Here is a 17,676-nt window from a genome sequence, read left to right on the forward strand (position 1 = left end):
AGCTATACATGTATTTTATTTTTCACTTGCAGACCCAACATACATGAGCAAAGTGAGCAAAGTGAACATCTTCAGAGGTTTGACTTTCAGTGGCAGCAGGGAAGCACATAAAATTGAGACTGGTTCTTACCTAGGGATTATCTCTCATTGGTGACTAATGGACACTTCTCATCATAGAGAAATCAAGGTATTTTTACAAGGTTGTGGTCTGTTTATCTACCGCAAGTACATTCAGAGAGTTCATTTCTAATGTTCACTTCTTTTGTCAGGAAGGAATTTCTGTCATTTATTTGAGAAGGCAGTACTTTCTTTACTAACCACACATCAACCAAACAACACATCCTCCCTCACACAGCATCTATCAAACAACAGCAGTCAAGGAAGGAGAGAGAGGAAGGGAAAAAAGAAACCTCCCACATAACTGACAGTCTGCTTAGACAAAGCTCATGCTGCATTAGACAGTTGTGTTAGAATGGGCTATTATAAACACAAGCAGGAAGGGGAGTGCTTACACTGTTCCATTAATAACTATGAATAAGCTATAATTTAAAGTTTGATGTTTTAATAGATTATGGCTCAGCTTGTTTATTGAACATAATAAGTGGAGCTCTTGCTAAACATATTATGAGTAATTACATTAAAAATGCTTGACCTGGAAGAAAACACAGCACATAAACGATCTCAGAATTTACCAGGCGGTATGTTAGCTCATTTCCTAATCACTATTTATTTATTTATTTATTTATACTAAAACATCAATGGAAAAAGTAGTCTATAATATAATGGCTAATTAGATGAGATACAAATTAGGCTTATGACATTTAGAAACCTGCACAATTATGGCTTTGTAATTACTGACTATGGGTAGCACATTGAATCCTATAAAAGCCAAAACACCAAGCTGGAGAGTGTGTTTTCCTGCTAGAAATATATCCCATGGTTCCCTTTTTGGTAATTGCCATACTCAATTTTATGATATCAAGACTAATTTGATATTTGATTTACTATTCTATCTGTGTATCCATGTGTGGTAATACAGACACTTGACTTTCATCAGAAATTTTTTATTATATCCTATATAACATTAAATATGATGCCAAGCTGTAGTTTCTCCTTCCTAATGTAATTCTATAAAGTGACTAAGGTTCTGTGATAGTTGCTTCAGTTGCTTTGATATTGGTGATGTGGAATTACGAGTTTGACTCCCCCAAAAGAGTACATCTATTTGGAATATGTGCGATTCTAAAAAGTTCAAGATGAGAGAAAGACTGTATGTCAAGTTATGGAAGACAGTTTTCATCATAATAATTTAATTATCAAAGATAATCTTATTATGCACAAGAATATTTGCTTAGAAGGATCACAGAGTGATGTGAAGGCAAAATATCTATTTAGAAAATACAAATCTTTACATGGTCTGTGATATGTTAACTTATTTTTTACCTGATTTAGTATAAATGGAAAAAAATGGACATTTACTGAATACCTACTATGAGCTAGATATTATACTGAGTGCTGTATATGCATTAGTGTAGTTAATGCCCTCTTCAACATTGGTAGGCTAAAAGTCAATGCAACTCGACGCTGGTCAAGGAGACAGGATTTACTCAGGTCTGTTTTGTGAAAGCTACATGGTAATGCCACTCAATTTAAATACACCAGAAGCCACTTTAAAGATCATTAAGTTAGTTAAAAGCTATAAGAAAAATGAATGCTTCCTTTTTTATTGCGTATCTTAGAATATTTTCAGTGGTAATGATTAGAAGCTGAATACAGCTAACTGGTTGAATGTATATAATTTGCTGCTTCGTACGGAGCATGTTTCATCTCATGACTTCCCAAACTAATTGCAATACTAGATTTATCTATTAATTTCCAACAAAAGTAATTATAATTATGGTGAGCGTCTGTAAATTTCAACTTCCTTAGCCCTAAAGGAGCTGGTCCCAAATATATAAAGCATTTAATATCCACTACCATCTCAGGCACTGGAAATTCTTCAATCTCTGATTCTCTTGATTTTCTTTAAGCTCTCTATTAGATCACACAGACAACTCAGGATCTTTTTTTTTCCCCATGGTCACTAGGAACCTGTTTTGCTTTTTAAAAATCTTTCATTTCCAGTTATCTCTTTTTAGTTTCATAATTTCACAATTAACTTATTACAACTAATACAACATATGATTCTAGATATGGTTTTCTGAATTATGAATATGAATTCATTGATGTGTAAGCCTCTTTCTGTTGCCTCAAGCCTAAATTTATTGTATTTCATTGTATGTTCATCAATAAGTTTCTCTTTTTTAGCTGTCTTTATTGATATTGATTGATTCATTTATTTAGCACACAACTATTGAGTGGTAGTTGTGTGTAAGGCTCTAATCTGGATGTTCTAGAAGAAATAAATATGACTGTTAACTGATGCTTTCCTTCAAAAAGACTAGTTACTATGCAATGGGCAACATAAGCATAGGAAGAACAAACCAGAATTAGATTAAGCTATGTGTTATGGGAGAAATGAGTGATTCACTTTTCATCAAATGAAGAAATCATATCATTTCTTGGTTCAAAACATTCAGTGATTCCCATTCTCCTTAGTCTTACACAATCTGTATCCAACACTCACTTATTCAATTAGAATTTCATTTTAAACATTTCAGTCATACCTAAACATTAGCCTTTGGTGCTTAATGTCTCCCAAATATATTCTTTATAATATTGCTTAAATTACTTCCTTCAGAAAGTGTTCCTTGACCAGACCCCATGTACAATGCTTTCTTCTTCTTTGCAATCTGTACTATTAGTTTAGTGTCCATTTAATACACTGGATTGATAATATATATTTTTTTGAGTACATGAGTGCAGTTTGTTTTTCCAGTTTTGAATTCAAATTCCCTAGGAGAGATCATGTCTTGTGCTTTTCTGAATTTTGTATAGTACCCCATGTTATATATAAAAAGGGTCCAATAAATGTTTGTTGACTGATTTATATAGTCTTACAGATCAAAGAACATTTTTGTCAACTTAAAAAAAACACTTGCTTTGAGGCTCCTTGCAGATGTAGTTTCTGAGGATTATTGCATTGCTAAAGTTAAAATGCAGTCATATCTACTATAAAAAGTTAACATATGCATTTTTTTGTAATTTGGCCATAACACTTTTCTTGTAAGATCAAATATTCATTGTTGAGATGTTGTCACTGAAAATAAGAAATAAAATTAGACTTACATCAATTTACCATTAAATACCTAATCAACATGTGAAAATAACATGGGTAGTAAAAAAAAAAAACTAAATAAATATGTATTCATTTAAAAATGGCATACATATTGATACTTGCACAAATCACAAGGATACAGCTTGATGAGCAACCACCCTACAGATCAAGAAATAGAATATTATGAACACATTAAAAGTTCCCTCCTAGTATTTGCTATTGCTACACAGTTTTCCTAAAGGTTTTTTCCAATTTGCAATCTTACCAGTAGTACGCAAGATTTCCAGTTCTTCCATATCTTCACGATCACTAGTTTTGTCCATCTTCTTAATTTTAGCTATTCTAAATTGGCATAATTTAGAATGTATAGTATTGTTTTATTTTGCATATCCTTCATGACAAATGAGAATAACATGTTTTTCTATATTAATTGGCAATTAGTTTATGCTCTTTTATGAAATGGCTTAGACTTTTACCCACTTTTCACTTGAGGATGTCATTCTATGTTTGGCATAGGTGATACTTATTGTATAAGCATTTCAGATGATATCCCCTCCCAGTGTATCTAACCTCTTAAATCTCTTAAAGATTTCTTTTGATAAACAGAATGTATTAATTTTAATTTATGATTAATACTTTTTATGTTTTCTTTGGGAAATCATTTTCAGTTGAAAAGTCTTGAAGATAGTCTCTTACGTTACTTTCTTGAAACCTTATTGTTTCACCATTCACATTTAAATCAACACTGTATCTGGAATTAACTTTTGTTTATGTTGTTTGCTAGTAAGGAGTCAGCATTCATTTGACTCCATATAATTATCAGATGACTCAGCATTATTATTGAAAAACCTGCCCTTTTCCCACTATTTTGAAGTATCACTTTTGTTGTAAGTCAAGTGTCCTTGTATGTGACTTCTCTTTCATTCTGTTTCTGAACTTTCTCTTCTGGACGTTTTGCATTCTTATACCAATGCTTATACCAAAGCTTAATTACTATAGCTTTGCTAGAAACCTTGTAAGTCTTCCACCTTTGTTCTTCTTTAAGGTTGTCTTAGTTATTCTTTGTCATTTAGAAAAAGTTTGTATATTTTTATAAAATATAATTTGGCACTTTTGGGGAGGAAGGTTTACATTGGCTCTTTAGAGCAATTTGGAGAAATTGATATTGAATCTTCCAGATAATGAACATGATATATCCCTCTATGTGTTTAGATGTCCTTTTTTTCTTCTCAAAAATGTTATGTAGTATTTGTGTAGAGAGTGTATTAATTTTTAAAATTAGATTTATTAGGTGTTTTGTATTTTATACTGCTATTGTAAATGTGTCATTTCTTAAATTTATTTTCTTCATATTTGTTGATGGTATGTTGCTGTTAGGGTTCTTCAGAAAACAGAACCAATTATATATATAGATATAGATATAGATATAGATATAGATAGATAGATATAGATATATGCCCACACATACGTATATATACAGTCACACATATATACTCAAATATACATATGAATATATATTATATATGTGTAAACTTATAATACATATATTCATACTCGTATACATAAGAACATATGTATTATAAATGTACACATATATAATAGATATATTCATACTCATATATATGAATATATATTATATATGTATATTTAAATATATATGTGTGGGTATGTATATGGGCAAGTTAGCTACACTCTCTGTGCCTTAGTTTTTTCCTATATAAAATAAAGATGACTACAGCACCTAACTTTTAAGGTTGCTGTATATGCGTATAAGTAAGCATATGTAAAGTGTTCACACAAGGTATATACATATACACATACATGTACACATATGTATACATACAACACACACGTATACATACATATACACATGTCTACACATATGTATACATACATATACACACATATGCACATGTATACATATATACACATATATATATACACATGGATATACACACACATATATACCCAGATATAGGTGTGTATATGAATATATACATAGGTGTATATATATGCATGTATATGTGTGTATATAGATTCTATTGTTTCTGTCCTCTCTATTATTCATACACACACACATGAGGGAGAGAGAGAGAAATCTGTTATGAGGAATTGGCTTATGTGCTTGTGGAGGCTGAGAAGTCATGATCTGCCACATCATGCATGCTGGTGAAAGCCAAGGGTGTAACTCAGTCTGAGTCTGAAGGCTGGAGAAGCAGCAGAGCTAATGGTGTAAGTCCCAGGCCATGCGCAGGGGAAGATGAGGGGAGATGTCCCACTTCAAGCAGTGAGACAGGGGGAAAAAAAGGAGAGGAGGAGGATTCCTCTGTCCTCTGCCTTTTGTCCTCTTCAGGCTCTCCATGGGTTGGGTGATGCACTCACACTGGGGAGGGGATTCTACTTTACTGAGTTCTCCGATTCAAAGGCTAATCTCATCCCAAAACACCCCCCGCACACATTCAGAAATAATGTTGAAACAGATATCTGGGCATCCTATGACTTACTCAAGTTGACACATGAAATTAGCCACCTCATATTAAACATAAAATTGATTTGAAACATAATATTGACCTTGTATCTAGTGACCTTGCTAAATGCCATTATTAATTCCAATAGAATGCTAGTGGTTAGAAGCCAGGACAATGAGAAAGGCAAAATACATGTGAGGATGGAGTTGCCTGAGGATTCTAGGGGTAGAAAACTTGGCTACCCAACGTAAAACATGAAAGGAGAGATCCGAAGTAAAAAACTAATCAGAAATCTAAAAAAGAAAGTTTAGATGGGTTGGAACAAAGTCTTAAAGTGGGCACGTTTTAGAGTTGGATGAATTTCGTTTCATAAATTAAGACCCAATCAATTTATGTAAAAAATATTGTAGTTGAAAAGCTTTGACAGAGCTAGAACTTAAAAATGTACTTTCTTGGAAGTCAGACAGAATAATAGCCAAGCAGAAAGGGTTATTCCAACTATCTTGAATCACATTACATCTCATATGGTATAACCTGATCTCCATATAACCTATGTCTCTGACAACATGTACGTCAGATTACTTAGATTACAGTAATAGAATTAATGGAGGCCAGCTTTATTATGTTTTCTCTTGTGTCAGATATTTTGAATCAATCTTCATAAATGTATCTATTCCTTTAACACACTCAAAAAACCTTCAAGATAGATGCAATTATTTTAATCTTGTAAACGCAATGTATTTGTAGGAGATCCTTGGTCCTAAGAAAGAGAAATCTTCTTTGAAAGAGTTTAAACAAAAAGCTTATTTTTTTGGAAGCACTTGTTTACTGAGTTATCTCAGAATAACCCAGGTGTGAAACTGCAGTTGACCCTTGCAGACAACTAGTTAGAATTAAGTATCACATGTCTACACAAAAACATGTACAGAAATGATCATAGCAAATGTATTCATGGTATCTACAAACTGGAGTTAATCCAAATGTTTATCAATAAGTATATGGATAAATAAATAATGTTATAACCACAAAATGAAATCCTACTCAGCAATGAAAAGGAATAAATTACTAAAAAATAAAAAAGAATTAGGTCTCAAAAGTCACCAAGATATTGTCTCTCAGCTCTGCTCTGCTTGTGAGGTTAATTTCTTTGTCTCTCTTTCTCTACCCCCACCCTCTCTCCTTCTTTTTAGTGTTTTCCCACTGGCTGTCTCTACATCAGGGGTCACCAGCCCTCAGGCCGTGGACTGGTACTAGTCTCTGGCGGGTTAGGAATTGGGCCGCACAGCAGGAGGTGAGCAGCAGTCCAGCAAGTATCACCACCTGAGCTCCGCCTCCTGTCAGATCAGTGGAGGCATTAGATTCTCATAGGAGTGCAAGCAGACCCTATTGTGAATTGCACATAGTCTAGGTTTCATGCTCCTTATGAGAATCTAATGCCTTGTGATCTGAGGTGGAATAGTTTCATCCTGAAACCATCCCCACCCCCACACTGTCTGTGGGAAAATCACCTTCCACAAAACCGGTCCCTGGTGCCAAAAAGGTTGTGGACTGCTGCTCTACATAATGGGAAATATTGTTGCTAATGACTGGAATTTTACCTCTTTCATGATCAACTACCATTCTTTTGGTCCTAACTTGAAAAATCCCCAGGAAGAGATTCATCAGCTCCAGTTTGGCCAGGTGCCTGCAGACAACCTATGGAATGGTCATATAATATTATGTTGAACTATATGAAATTGCCATTACATATTCTATTGCTAAAAAGTGTCAATTTCTTAATTTAATCATAATAGCCAAAATTAATAACAATAGTTGAATGTTTACTATGTGCCAAGCATTGTTTTAAGCGCTTTACATATGTTTACTCATATGCATTTACAACAACCTTAAAAGTTAGGTGCTGTAGTCATCTTCATTTTATATTGGCGAAAACTAAGGTGCAGAGCGTGTAGCTAACTTGTCCATCATCACATAGTAGTAAGTGTTAGAGCCAGAATTCTAACCCAGGCAGTCTGGTTTCAGAGTCTACTACATTACAAGATAGTATCTGAAGGAATTGTATAGAATTGGGGGAGAATATTCACTCATAGGCATGACATTTACTTTGGTGGGGACTCTTTGCTGATTTTATTCTGTGGATTGTTGCATTGCCAAGGGTGTATAGGTCCTTAGAGTTGGTCATGGTGTTAATTTAATATACTCTAAGAATTATGACAAGATGGGGCTGCAGAGCTGAAGCCTTTCTTTCAATAAACGTCCAAGGTGCCATGGCCAGAGGACTATGGTGAAAGCTGATCTGGACATTAAAGTTCAGGGTTTATTAGTTAGATAAGGCAAGATTTTTATGGGCCAAGTGCTGTTTAACTTCTCTGTTGATGTAGTGGCTCTCTCAGTGTGGGGTCTGTAATTGAGTCTTTTATGGTGAACAATTTGGGGATTCTCAGTATAAACTTACCACTATAATGATCTTTTCTTGCACTGGATTGTATTAGATGTAGATGCTCTGCAATAAGGTGCTACTTTTTCTAAGACTAACAATGAAAAACACATAATAGAGGTTCTTATGTTCCAGACTCTGTCCTAAAATCTTTATATCTGTTAAATAATTTTATCTTTACAGGAACACATGAAAATATTAGGAAAGATACTTGGTAAAATGCACATCTATAGCAAGCATAGAGTAGGGGAGAATAAGGTATCCCAGACAATCTTGGTCTACAGTTCAAGCTCCTATCTGTTCTATGATAATAGTACAATAATTATAATAATAAACACTATTCAAACATTTAGAAACATAATCTCATGCATTAGAGAAATGAAGATTATTCCTTTCCACTAAACTAGTGTTAAAGGTAAAAGACGAAAGCAAAGGAAGGAGGAATTTGAAAGAAGAAGAAAAAAACAAACATCCTGCAAGTGAGTTGTCAGATAAGCAATGAGATGATTTTTCCAAAGGCATAAAAACGAGTGTCACAGCTGTGTTTTAAGTTGGCATTCTCACTGGAGTTTGGTCATATGTCTATATAAGAACAATGTCAAATAAAAGCTATAGAGTCACTCATTTTTACAAGGTGACTACTATGTGTAAGCACTTCTGCTGAATCTATGATTTACACATTTCTCCATCACAGATAAATACAGAGCAGCTCTCGATGTAGCCAAGAACCATCTCCTAACATGGCTCCCTGCCAAAACACACTCAGCTTCCATACTCTGTCTGCTGTCCACATTGCTGCCTGCCCAGAGAGAAAAGGAGCTCTTTGTGGTCTTTCGGTTCTTCTAGTGGAAAATTTCTATAGACTAAGCAGAGAGATAGCACAAAGCAGACCATTTGCAAGTGGACACCGTCCCCTGCCAAAGGCCATGGGGACTGTAAAAAGAAACAGACTCCTACGGTGTGAATCTGCCAGTTTCATACTATAAATGGAAATTGTTTTTAAAATCTAAAGGGATTGTAATGACTAAACATCAATACTGCTTGTCTTTACCCTTGATGAAAAAAATGGTTAAAGGACATGCTTTCACACCAGCCAAGGAATGATGAAAAAAAGCTCTAGGCAGTATCAAAGGACACAACACAAATGAACACCACAATCTAATTGCTGGGAACGGAAAATCCATCTAAATGTTTGTAAGAATGTGTGTGTGTGCGTGTGTGTGTGTGTGTGTGTGTATGTCTGTTTTAACATAATTAAGGAAGAATTCATTTGTAACATGAAAGACAGAATTTTTCCCTTATTCAATGTGAATGATTGTGGCTGTGTCTATCCGCTTAACAGATCACCTAAAAATGGTTGCTATCATATTTTTTTAGCTGGGTTCAGGGAAACTTTGTATTGTAGTATTCTGAATCTGTTCCAATTTAGAGTTGAAAGATCCAAAATTACCCCAATGTGATTGATTCAGTGACTGCTTATAAACACGGCATGCAACTCCACTTGTCTTTTTAGGCAGAAGAGGCCTTCAAGTGATCCTGGGGTTTACAAAGGAGCTAGCAATATACCTGTTTTGTGGTGTTTTTACTGCTCTCACTTGAAACTATATAATTTGAGATGAATATTACTTTTTTTGCCTAAAACTTTCAGTTGTATGGAAGTTACAATCAATTTCGTTAATGAAATACAACATACATAAAACATAACATAGCTTTAGGACATAACATTTGAATGTAATTTTGTAGCTTATTACAATTGGTAGGATGAATATAGTGTTAATCTTATTTTAGGTAATTTACTAAGATAACTCGAATGCAGATTGGCTCCTCAGATTTTCTTCCATGTCTACATATTATTAAAAACACAAATAAACTCTATGCATTCTTCTGTCAGTCAGGTTGGAATAAGTTATGCTGTGATAACAAGCAATCCTGGAATCTTACTGACTTTCAGCCACAAAGATTTATTTATTATTCATATGACTTGCCCATCGTGAGTTGACCAGAGACCCTCATTCATGTGCCCTTACTCCAGGATGCAGGCTGATGGAGCAGACCTCATCTTGAAGGTTCTTGTTTGCCCACACAGGTGGAAAGAAACCATAGTGAATTTTGCTCTAGTTCATAAAGCTTCCACCTGGAGGTGACATACATCACTCCTACAGGAAGTTACATGGGGAGAAAGCAAGCTCAATCGTACCATGTATTCTGATGGAGAAGCAGAAACATTTGGTGAGCATCACTAATTAATACCCTTCAGTCCCCCTAAGTAGTAAAAACTGGTAAAGCAAATCCAGTATATAAAGCACCATGGCACAGTGTAAAGCTGTCCAGTGGGCAAAGGGAACATCAGAAACATTTTCTCAGTTTGCATCAAACCTTCTTATGAGTTAGTTATACTTCCTTCAGTTGGTCCCTGCTCATTCTCTTGGTAACCCACTTTAATCCTGTTATTTTTCTTTCACTCTTCTGGAGCCACAAAGACCCTCTTATTTTCCTCCATGAACATGTTGGGCACAGTTCTGCCTTAGGACTCTTCCCTACCTACCCTATACCTGACATATCTACTGATTTACATGAAGCCTGAGGATCCATCTGGAAACAACCACACTCCACTGTTGAACTGTGATGTTTGGACATATGAAATCTTGGCTGCTAGATGGAGGTGAACCTGGAGGAAGTGCAAGTGTAGGGAGAAAAGAAATGGAGGAAGCCCCAAGAATAAAGTGAAGAAGGCATGAAATGAAGTGAGCTAGACTGAACAACAAAGCTGGAGAGCTGGAGAGGACGGATGGCTTGGTATCGCAATGCAACTGATTGTAAAGTTCATTCCAATCCAGCCACCATGATTTACGCGTGCATCGTGAGAGAAAGAGATGTGTGTGTGTGTGTTTATGTTAATAAAAGGCTTTAACATGTGGTGACAGAAGTGACTGATGTTATGAAAGTTTTGCAATGGCACAGAGGTAATGATGTTCCAGTTCACTAGCATTGAATCTCATTCGCACCTAGGTTGACAGTACTGGAAATGAGAGAGGAGTTTGTCCTTGGAGTACCACCTCCATGAGCTCTCAAAGCTGAGATTGCAGAGCCTGGCTTATCTGGCAATGGAGGGGAAGGAACAAGGGATATCACTAATCACTGTGACATTTTGGAAAAAGGTGTCATGGCTAATGGAGAGTAAATGAGACATAGACCCCTGAGGTGGAGATGTGGCACTGCCTTTGGGCACAGCAGAGTTGCAGCTCCTCTGGTAGCGGTAGCCATTAGGATTCAACATGGTTGCTGCTTCCTCAAGCACTTGGGAGTTTTTTTTTTTTTTGTCATCCTTCCCAAGGCCCCAGCTTCTTGTGATCAGCCCATCAGAACACAGGGGCCATACCCTTGCCTCAGAGACTCTTATCTTTTTGGTGAGTTTTTGCCATTTATGGAACCACAGCTACTCTCTTGCCCTCCCCATGCCCTGGTCATAGGAAAGCAAACTCCCTTTTCCTTTGGAACTGTTCCCTGAGTAACACTTTGTACTTGAAACATAAGCTTTACTTTCATTTAGTATAACCTTTCAGTACCTATCAGGAGAATCCTCAACGACCTAAATAATTCTATTTTGCTCATTTGCCATTGGGCACTTTGGGTACTAAAGATGGAAAGTACCCCTCAATGGAGCCAGTATTATTACAGACAATTTGATAAGGGGTGATATTTATAGAGAGTGGCAGCTGCCAAAAGATTACAAAAAATGGGAGTCAGACCTTAGGAATAATGTGAATAAAGACCATGGTTAGGAGGGAGGCCCACCTAACATTCAATTCTTGTTTTACTACTTAGTGGAGAGAAATTGGATCTATGTACTCTTGGTGAGCCCCAGTTTCTTTCACTGTAAAATGGGGATAATAATACCCATTGCACAGCACAGGACTGTCATTAGGAATTGAATGAAATTGCATGTGCAAAACTCATAGTGCATACGCATAGAGTAAGTGCTCAAGAAATATTATTTCTCTTCACTTAGTGAGGTGTATCTTTTTATGAAATTTGGATGCATAGCTCCAAGGCCAAACCATAGGGGTGTTTCCAGTTGGGATCATTTAGAGGCCTAAGAAAAATTGTCCTGATTCTCACTTATCTTTTATCACATTTCCTGAAATGCCAAAACTAAAAATATATTATTTTGGCTTAGGTTACTTACTTTCCAAGTGTCCTCATTAAATATATAGCTGTTATCAAGAAGGATAAAACATGAAGCTGTTATAAGTAATTGCCCCTGTAATGTGGATTTGTTTGTCAGAGGCAGGTTGATTGAGTAAAAGGCAGGGGTCATTGCTTTGTTCGTTTGTTTTGAGTGAAATGGAGAGGAGAAAATAAGTGTCTGTTGTAGTACAACTCCCAAAAAAGGTCAGACCTGAGTGAGGTGCTAAATGTGGCAGTGTTTGGACTTTTCTTTTCTGGAGAGGGAACGTAACAGAGGAAGAAAGTGATAAAGGGGGAATACCAGAGGGATTTGCACTCACATTTCCCCACTGCTCGTAGGTATCTAAGGATGGCCCTGCTGGCTTGATTCATTCGAGGTCATCTGTTTGGGGAATGCTGGAGGGTGTTGAAAGATAACTTTAATTGTATTACAGTTGGACACAAACCCTTACTTTCATTCAAGAATAATACTTCTGCTGTAGGAATACCAAATTTGAAGGTGTCATCCATATTGGATTTGGAGCCAGATTTCTGAAAGCTTATTTATTTCTTGGGGGAGAAAGAAACCATGCCAGACTCAGGGAGGGGTTTTCCTGTCTATGAGCATGGAAGCTGAGTGAACAGAGGATCAGAACCAACTTGGCTGGGTCCTGGGCCCTGCAGCACCAGGAATTAGGTAATACCAAAAGTATCTATGAGGGGAGCTATGCATGGGGGAACAGGGAGGTTGCTTACATCCTGACAAGGAACAAAGTTAAATTCAGACATTAGACTTCCATTTCAGATAGGGAAGAGAAGACGGAGCTAAAGTTCTAGGACAAGCTTGTCATACCCGCAGCCTGTGGGCAGCGTGTAGCTCAGCATGGCTTTGAATGCAGCTCAACACAAATTCGTAAGCTTTCTTAAAATACTATAATATTTTTTTGCAATTTTTAATTTTTTTTTTTAGCTCATCAGCTATCGTTAGTGTTAGTGTATTTTATGTGTGGCCCAGGACAATTCTTCTTCATCCAACGTGGCCCAGGGAAGCCAAAAGATTGGACACTCTTGTTCTAGGACTAAGACCCATGTTTGATAGTAAGTAATACCTATATTATCAGAAGACAAAAAATTTCACCTGGAAAGACAATTTGGAAGGGTAACACAGAAGGCTACCATTGCATTAAGATTGTCTGCAAAGGAATGATCTTACTTTAACTAGTTAGAGGAGCAGTTTTTGGAAACTTGATCACTGGAGATTGGCATATCGGCCATGACATATGTTGGAGAATAAGTGCTAAGACAAAGTCTTAAGGAGAGAAATTATTTTGTGGAGAGATGCTTAAAATAACAGAGAGGCAGTGTGAAGGAAAGCTAAGTGTGAAGGCTCTGGGTGAATGCCCCGAGGCTGTCAACTCCTCCCCAGCAATGTGGACATAAAATGATATCCATCTCATAGTTTTGTGATGAAGTGAAAATGAGGTAATTACTATGAAACGCTTAGGGCAGTGATTGGCGTGTAGTAAGCACTCAGTCCACTTTAAGTGTTACTGTTTCTTTTAATGATTCTGAGCCACAGAGCTATTTCTCTACTTCCTCTAGAGGCTGAGATGTGGGTTTGTTCAGTGTCAGTATCCAGGCCCTCTAGAATCTGAGAAGAGTGCAATGGGAGCTTACAACCTCCTCTTTACCCTACTTATTTTCTTTTACTGGGTATTAAAATTTAAGTTGGCAGGTGATCAGCTCATTTGAATAGTATTTTCCTCCATATGTTATTATAAAGGGGTATCTTCTTTTCTGCCCCTTCATGAAATTAGCATCGATTAGCATCATAACTCGAATAATTTATCCCATCAAGCACTTAAGAAGCACATGCATATTAGTTAGTATTAATATCCAGATATCCCCTTTTATCAGGGGATAAAAGGCTAAACAGAAGTTGAAATGCCCAAAAAGGAATTTGCAATGTAGAAGTATCTAGTCTAGGAAATGATCATCACTAACTGTTGTCAAAACCTACTCCAGATATTTTAATAAATAGTCAAGATAGTTTATTTTCTTCCTAATATTATCATGGAGTAAATTTTGATACCAAAATTTCATAGCAGCCTATTGTTTCTGTCAAGAATAATAATGACATATATTTCAAATCACTTTTCTTCATGTTTGTCATTATGTATCATCACTATTAAAATCACAGTCTTGAATGGAAAAAGAAAAAATATGAATGGCAAATCATATAGAGAAATCAAATTGGTTCAGTACATAAAAATATTCCATCTTCAAATGCCTTGCAAGATAAATGAAATAGATTGACTAGTGCTATTTTAGGGGCTGTCCCCAGCTCAGCATTTGTGATGAACTCTCTTGAAACAAGAGAGAACATTCAGTTTTCCATTCAAGTGCTCCTGGTACTTCTTAAAAAGATGACTTTCAGAGACTTCACAAAAAATAAATAGCAAAGAAATCTAAGTCAGGAGTGTTATCATGATTAGGTAAATCTCACATCTTGAAGAGTTTAGAGTCTTGATTTTTTAAAATGTGTGAGCAAACTCTAGGTTATTAGTAAATATATCTTTAGGAGAAGTTTAGCAATTAGAACATTTAAATGAATATATTACATGCTAAGACACTCACTCAACCCAACATCTCCAGTCCCAGGTGGATACCCGGATCCACTAAATCCATGAATAAATTAATACATATTTATCAAACACTTGCTACATAACTAGTTCTGTGGCAGATGGTATGACGTTTAAACCATAAATCAGCTATAAATTATAATTCTTGGTATATAGGAGCTCCTTATCAAGTGGGAAAAGCAAACACAGGAGATTATATATAGTAAAGTCTTGAATAGTGAAGTTTAAACTATAACAGCAATAGGATTTAAGAAATGGAGAGGTTGAACTACTCCAGGAAGACTTCTTGAAGGATGTCGTACTTGAGCTGAACCTTAAGAGAGGTGTTGGTTTTGAATGAAGGGCAGTGGTATTCTAGACCTGAGAGAGACAAAAAGGAGTTTGAATGTGGTATTAATGAAAGAGAATGAGAAGAGAGAACTGGCCAGAACAGGGGGACACAATAGGAAAGAACTGAATATAGAACCAGAATATGGGGTAGCCTAGAAGTAAAAATCAAAATGCAGTTAAAAACATGCATGTTCCAAGATTGAATTTGTTCAGTCATGTGGTCATCTAACATAGATACTATTATTCTTATAGAACTTGAACTTGGGTACTGACAAATGAAGATGATGAACTTATGTTTTTTACCTTCTTACCGTGTAAGTAAGCCATGTGACTTATGTTTAAATCTCCTCACACCAACACATACACAGATGATGTAATATGATGTCTGTTATTTACTTCAAAATAATCTGACAGTGAGAGAGGGAGGTAGGTGAGGATAGAAACAAAATTAGTCATGAACCAGTAACTGTTGCTGCACATGGAATTTGTTATACAATTCTGTCTACATATTTTTTATGTTTGAAATCTTTTATAATAAAAAACATTCTTCTACTTTATCTCTTTGATATATATCATCATAAAATTGGATCTCCCTTGCCACATTTTCTAAGTATTACAAGTATGTAAAACCAGGAAAACAATCTAATCTACAGGAAAGTAAATACACACACACACACACACACACACACACACACACACTCTTGAAGAATGAAAACATAGAAAAGCACCTAAACAACTATCTAATTACAATACTCTAATTTGTAATTCCTCTTAGTTTGAAAGAGAGTAGGTCCTAAGCCTGACTGACTCTTAATCTTATGGGTAGAATCTACTTTAATGTTTTGCATGGACGATGCATGAATATCTTGTAATCTGATTAGTTTGTTGAGCTAGTATTTGTGTAGGACACTTATTCTTTGTTGAATTGTGTGCCTTACCAAGTGTTGGAACCAATGTCCATGTCTTCATGTAGTCATTCATTTAATGGCTTTCTAGTTAACCATAGTTTTTTCTGAAATAATGATCAGTTATGTATCAACCATTAAACAATTGTTTATCATGCAGTGGAGCTGACATTGATTATCACAATTGCCAAGAACAATTTGATAACTTGGAGAGCTTTTGGGAAAATAGATTTGGCTTGAATTAGAATCCTGGCTCTGCCTCTTGCAAATTATTTAACATGTTCAAGCTTCAATTTCATCAATAAATGAACTCCAACTACTTACCTCAGAGTTGTTGAGAAGATTAAACTAGACTTGCCTTTGCCAAATTCTCTCCTCCCATTCTCTCTTGAACCCACTTCAGATTTTCACCTCTACCTCTCTACTGAAAAATCATGATGACCTCCATGTTGATAAATCTAAAATAACTTTCTCAGTTCTTCCTTTACCTGCCCTATCTTTTGTTTTCCTTCAGATAGATGCACGGCCATCACCTTCACTTAATTTAGGTCTTTACTCAAATTCATTTTCTCAGTGAGGCGCTTCATGCCTCTGTAATCTAAAATTTCAGCCCTTATGACATTTCATATTCATGTTTCCTGGTATACTTCTTAGCACTATTTCATATATTTTACTTATATTTCTTGTTTACTTTCTGTCTTATTCTCTCCCTGCCTACTTCCTCCTGTCTCCCATATAAGCTCCATGAATGCAGGGTTTATCTTTTTTTTCCACTGTTTACTAAGTATCTCTAAAATAGATACATAGTATCTAGAACATAGTAGGCACTCTGCTAGAACATAGTAGGCACTCTGAATATTTGTTGAATGAATGAATGGATGAGAAAATGTATTTGTGCCAGCAAAGTGCCTGTACATAACAGATGCTTAATCAAATTAACTTACTCTCTAAATTTTTTTCTTTTTACTGTACTTCAATGGATGCAAACAAATTAATTTACTCTTTCCCCTTTTATGCAGATCATTGAAATAATTATTTTAATGAATGTTGAAAATAATTTTGGAAAAGTTAGACCCCTAATCTAGCACCCCTACTATTTCATAATGTAGCATTATATTCCGTCATAGATATTATAATATTCTTTAATTCATTGATTTATTTTTCAACACACATTTATTCAATGTGCATTATGTATCAAGCATCTATATACAAAGAAGAACAAAATGCATGGCTGTCTTCAAGGAGTTTCCAGCCTAGTGGGGAGACAGATACAAAAAGGGATCAACACGTCAGAGTAAATGTAATCAGAGACCTACGGGGTGAGGAGACCCAACCCATTCTGTGAGGCCCAGAAAGACCTCCAAAGGAGGTAACAGCTGAACTGAGTGTTAAAAATGAGTATGAGCTGGTTTGAAGAGGAGAGGATACAAAAGAAAGCCAGACAGGAAAGCTTGTTTGAGCAAAGAACTAGGTGAGAAACAGCTTGGTACGTTTTTGTGTGTATGATGAG

The 17,676-nt window shown here is 35.8% G+C and overlaps 1 long non-coding RNA gene across 5 annotated transcripts in view; it reads left to right on the forward strand.

The window, feature by feature from the left end:
• LOC105370259 (uncharacterized) overlaps positions 1–17,676 on the forward strand; it is a 120,734-nt gene that overhangs the window by 28,369 nt on the left and 74,689 nt on the right. The window contains exon 2 of one of the 5 annotated variants that reach the window (NR_187795.1): positions 15,514–15,575. The exons of the other annotated variants lie outside the window; for them this stretch is intronic. This is a non-coding gene — a long non-coding RNA (uncharacterized LOC105370259). The remainder of the gene's footprint in view (positions 1–15,513; positions 15,576–17,676) is intronic. 5 annotated transcript variants of the gene reach the window in all.

This window comes from Homo sapiens, chromosome 13 (assembly GCF_000001405.40).
Source record: "Homo sapiens chromosome 13, GRCh38.p14 Primary Assembly".
Lineage (NCBI taxonomy): Eukaryota > Metazoa > Chordata > Mammalia > Primates > Hominidae > Homo > Homo sapiens.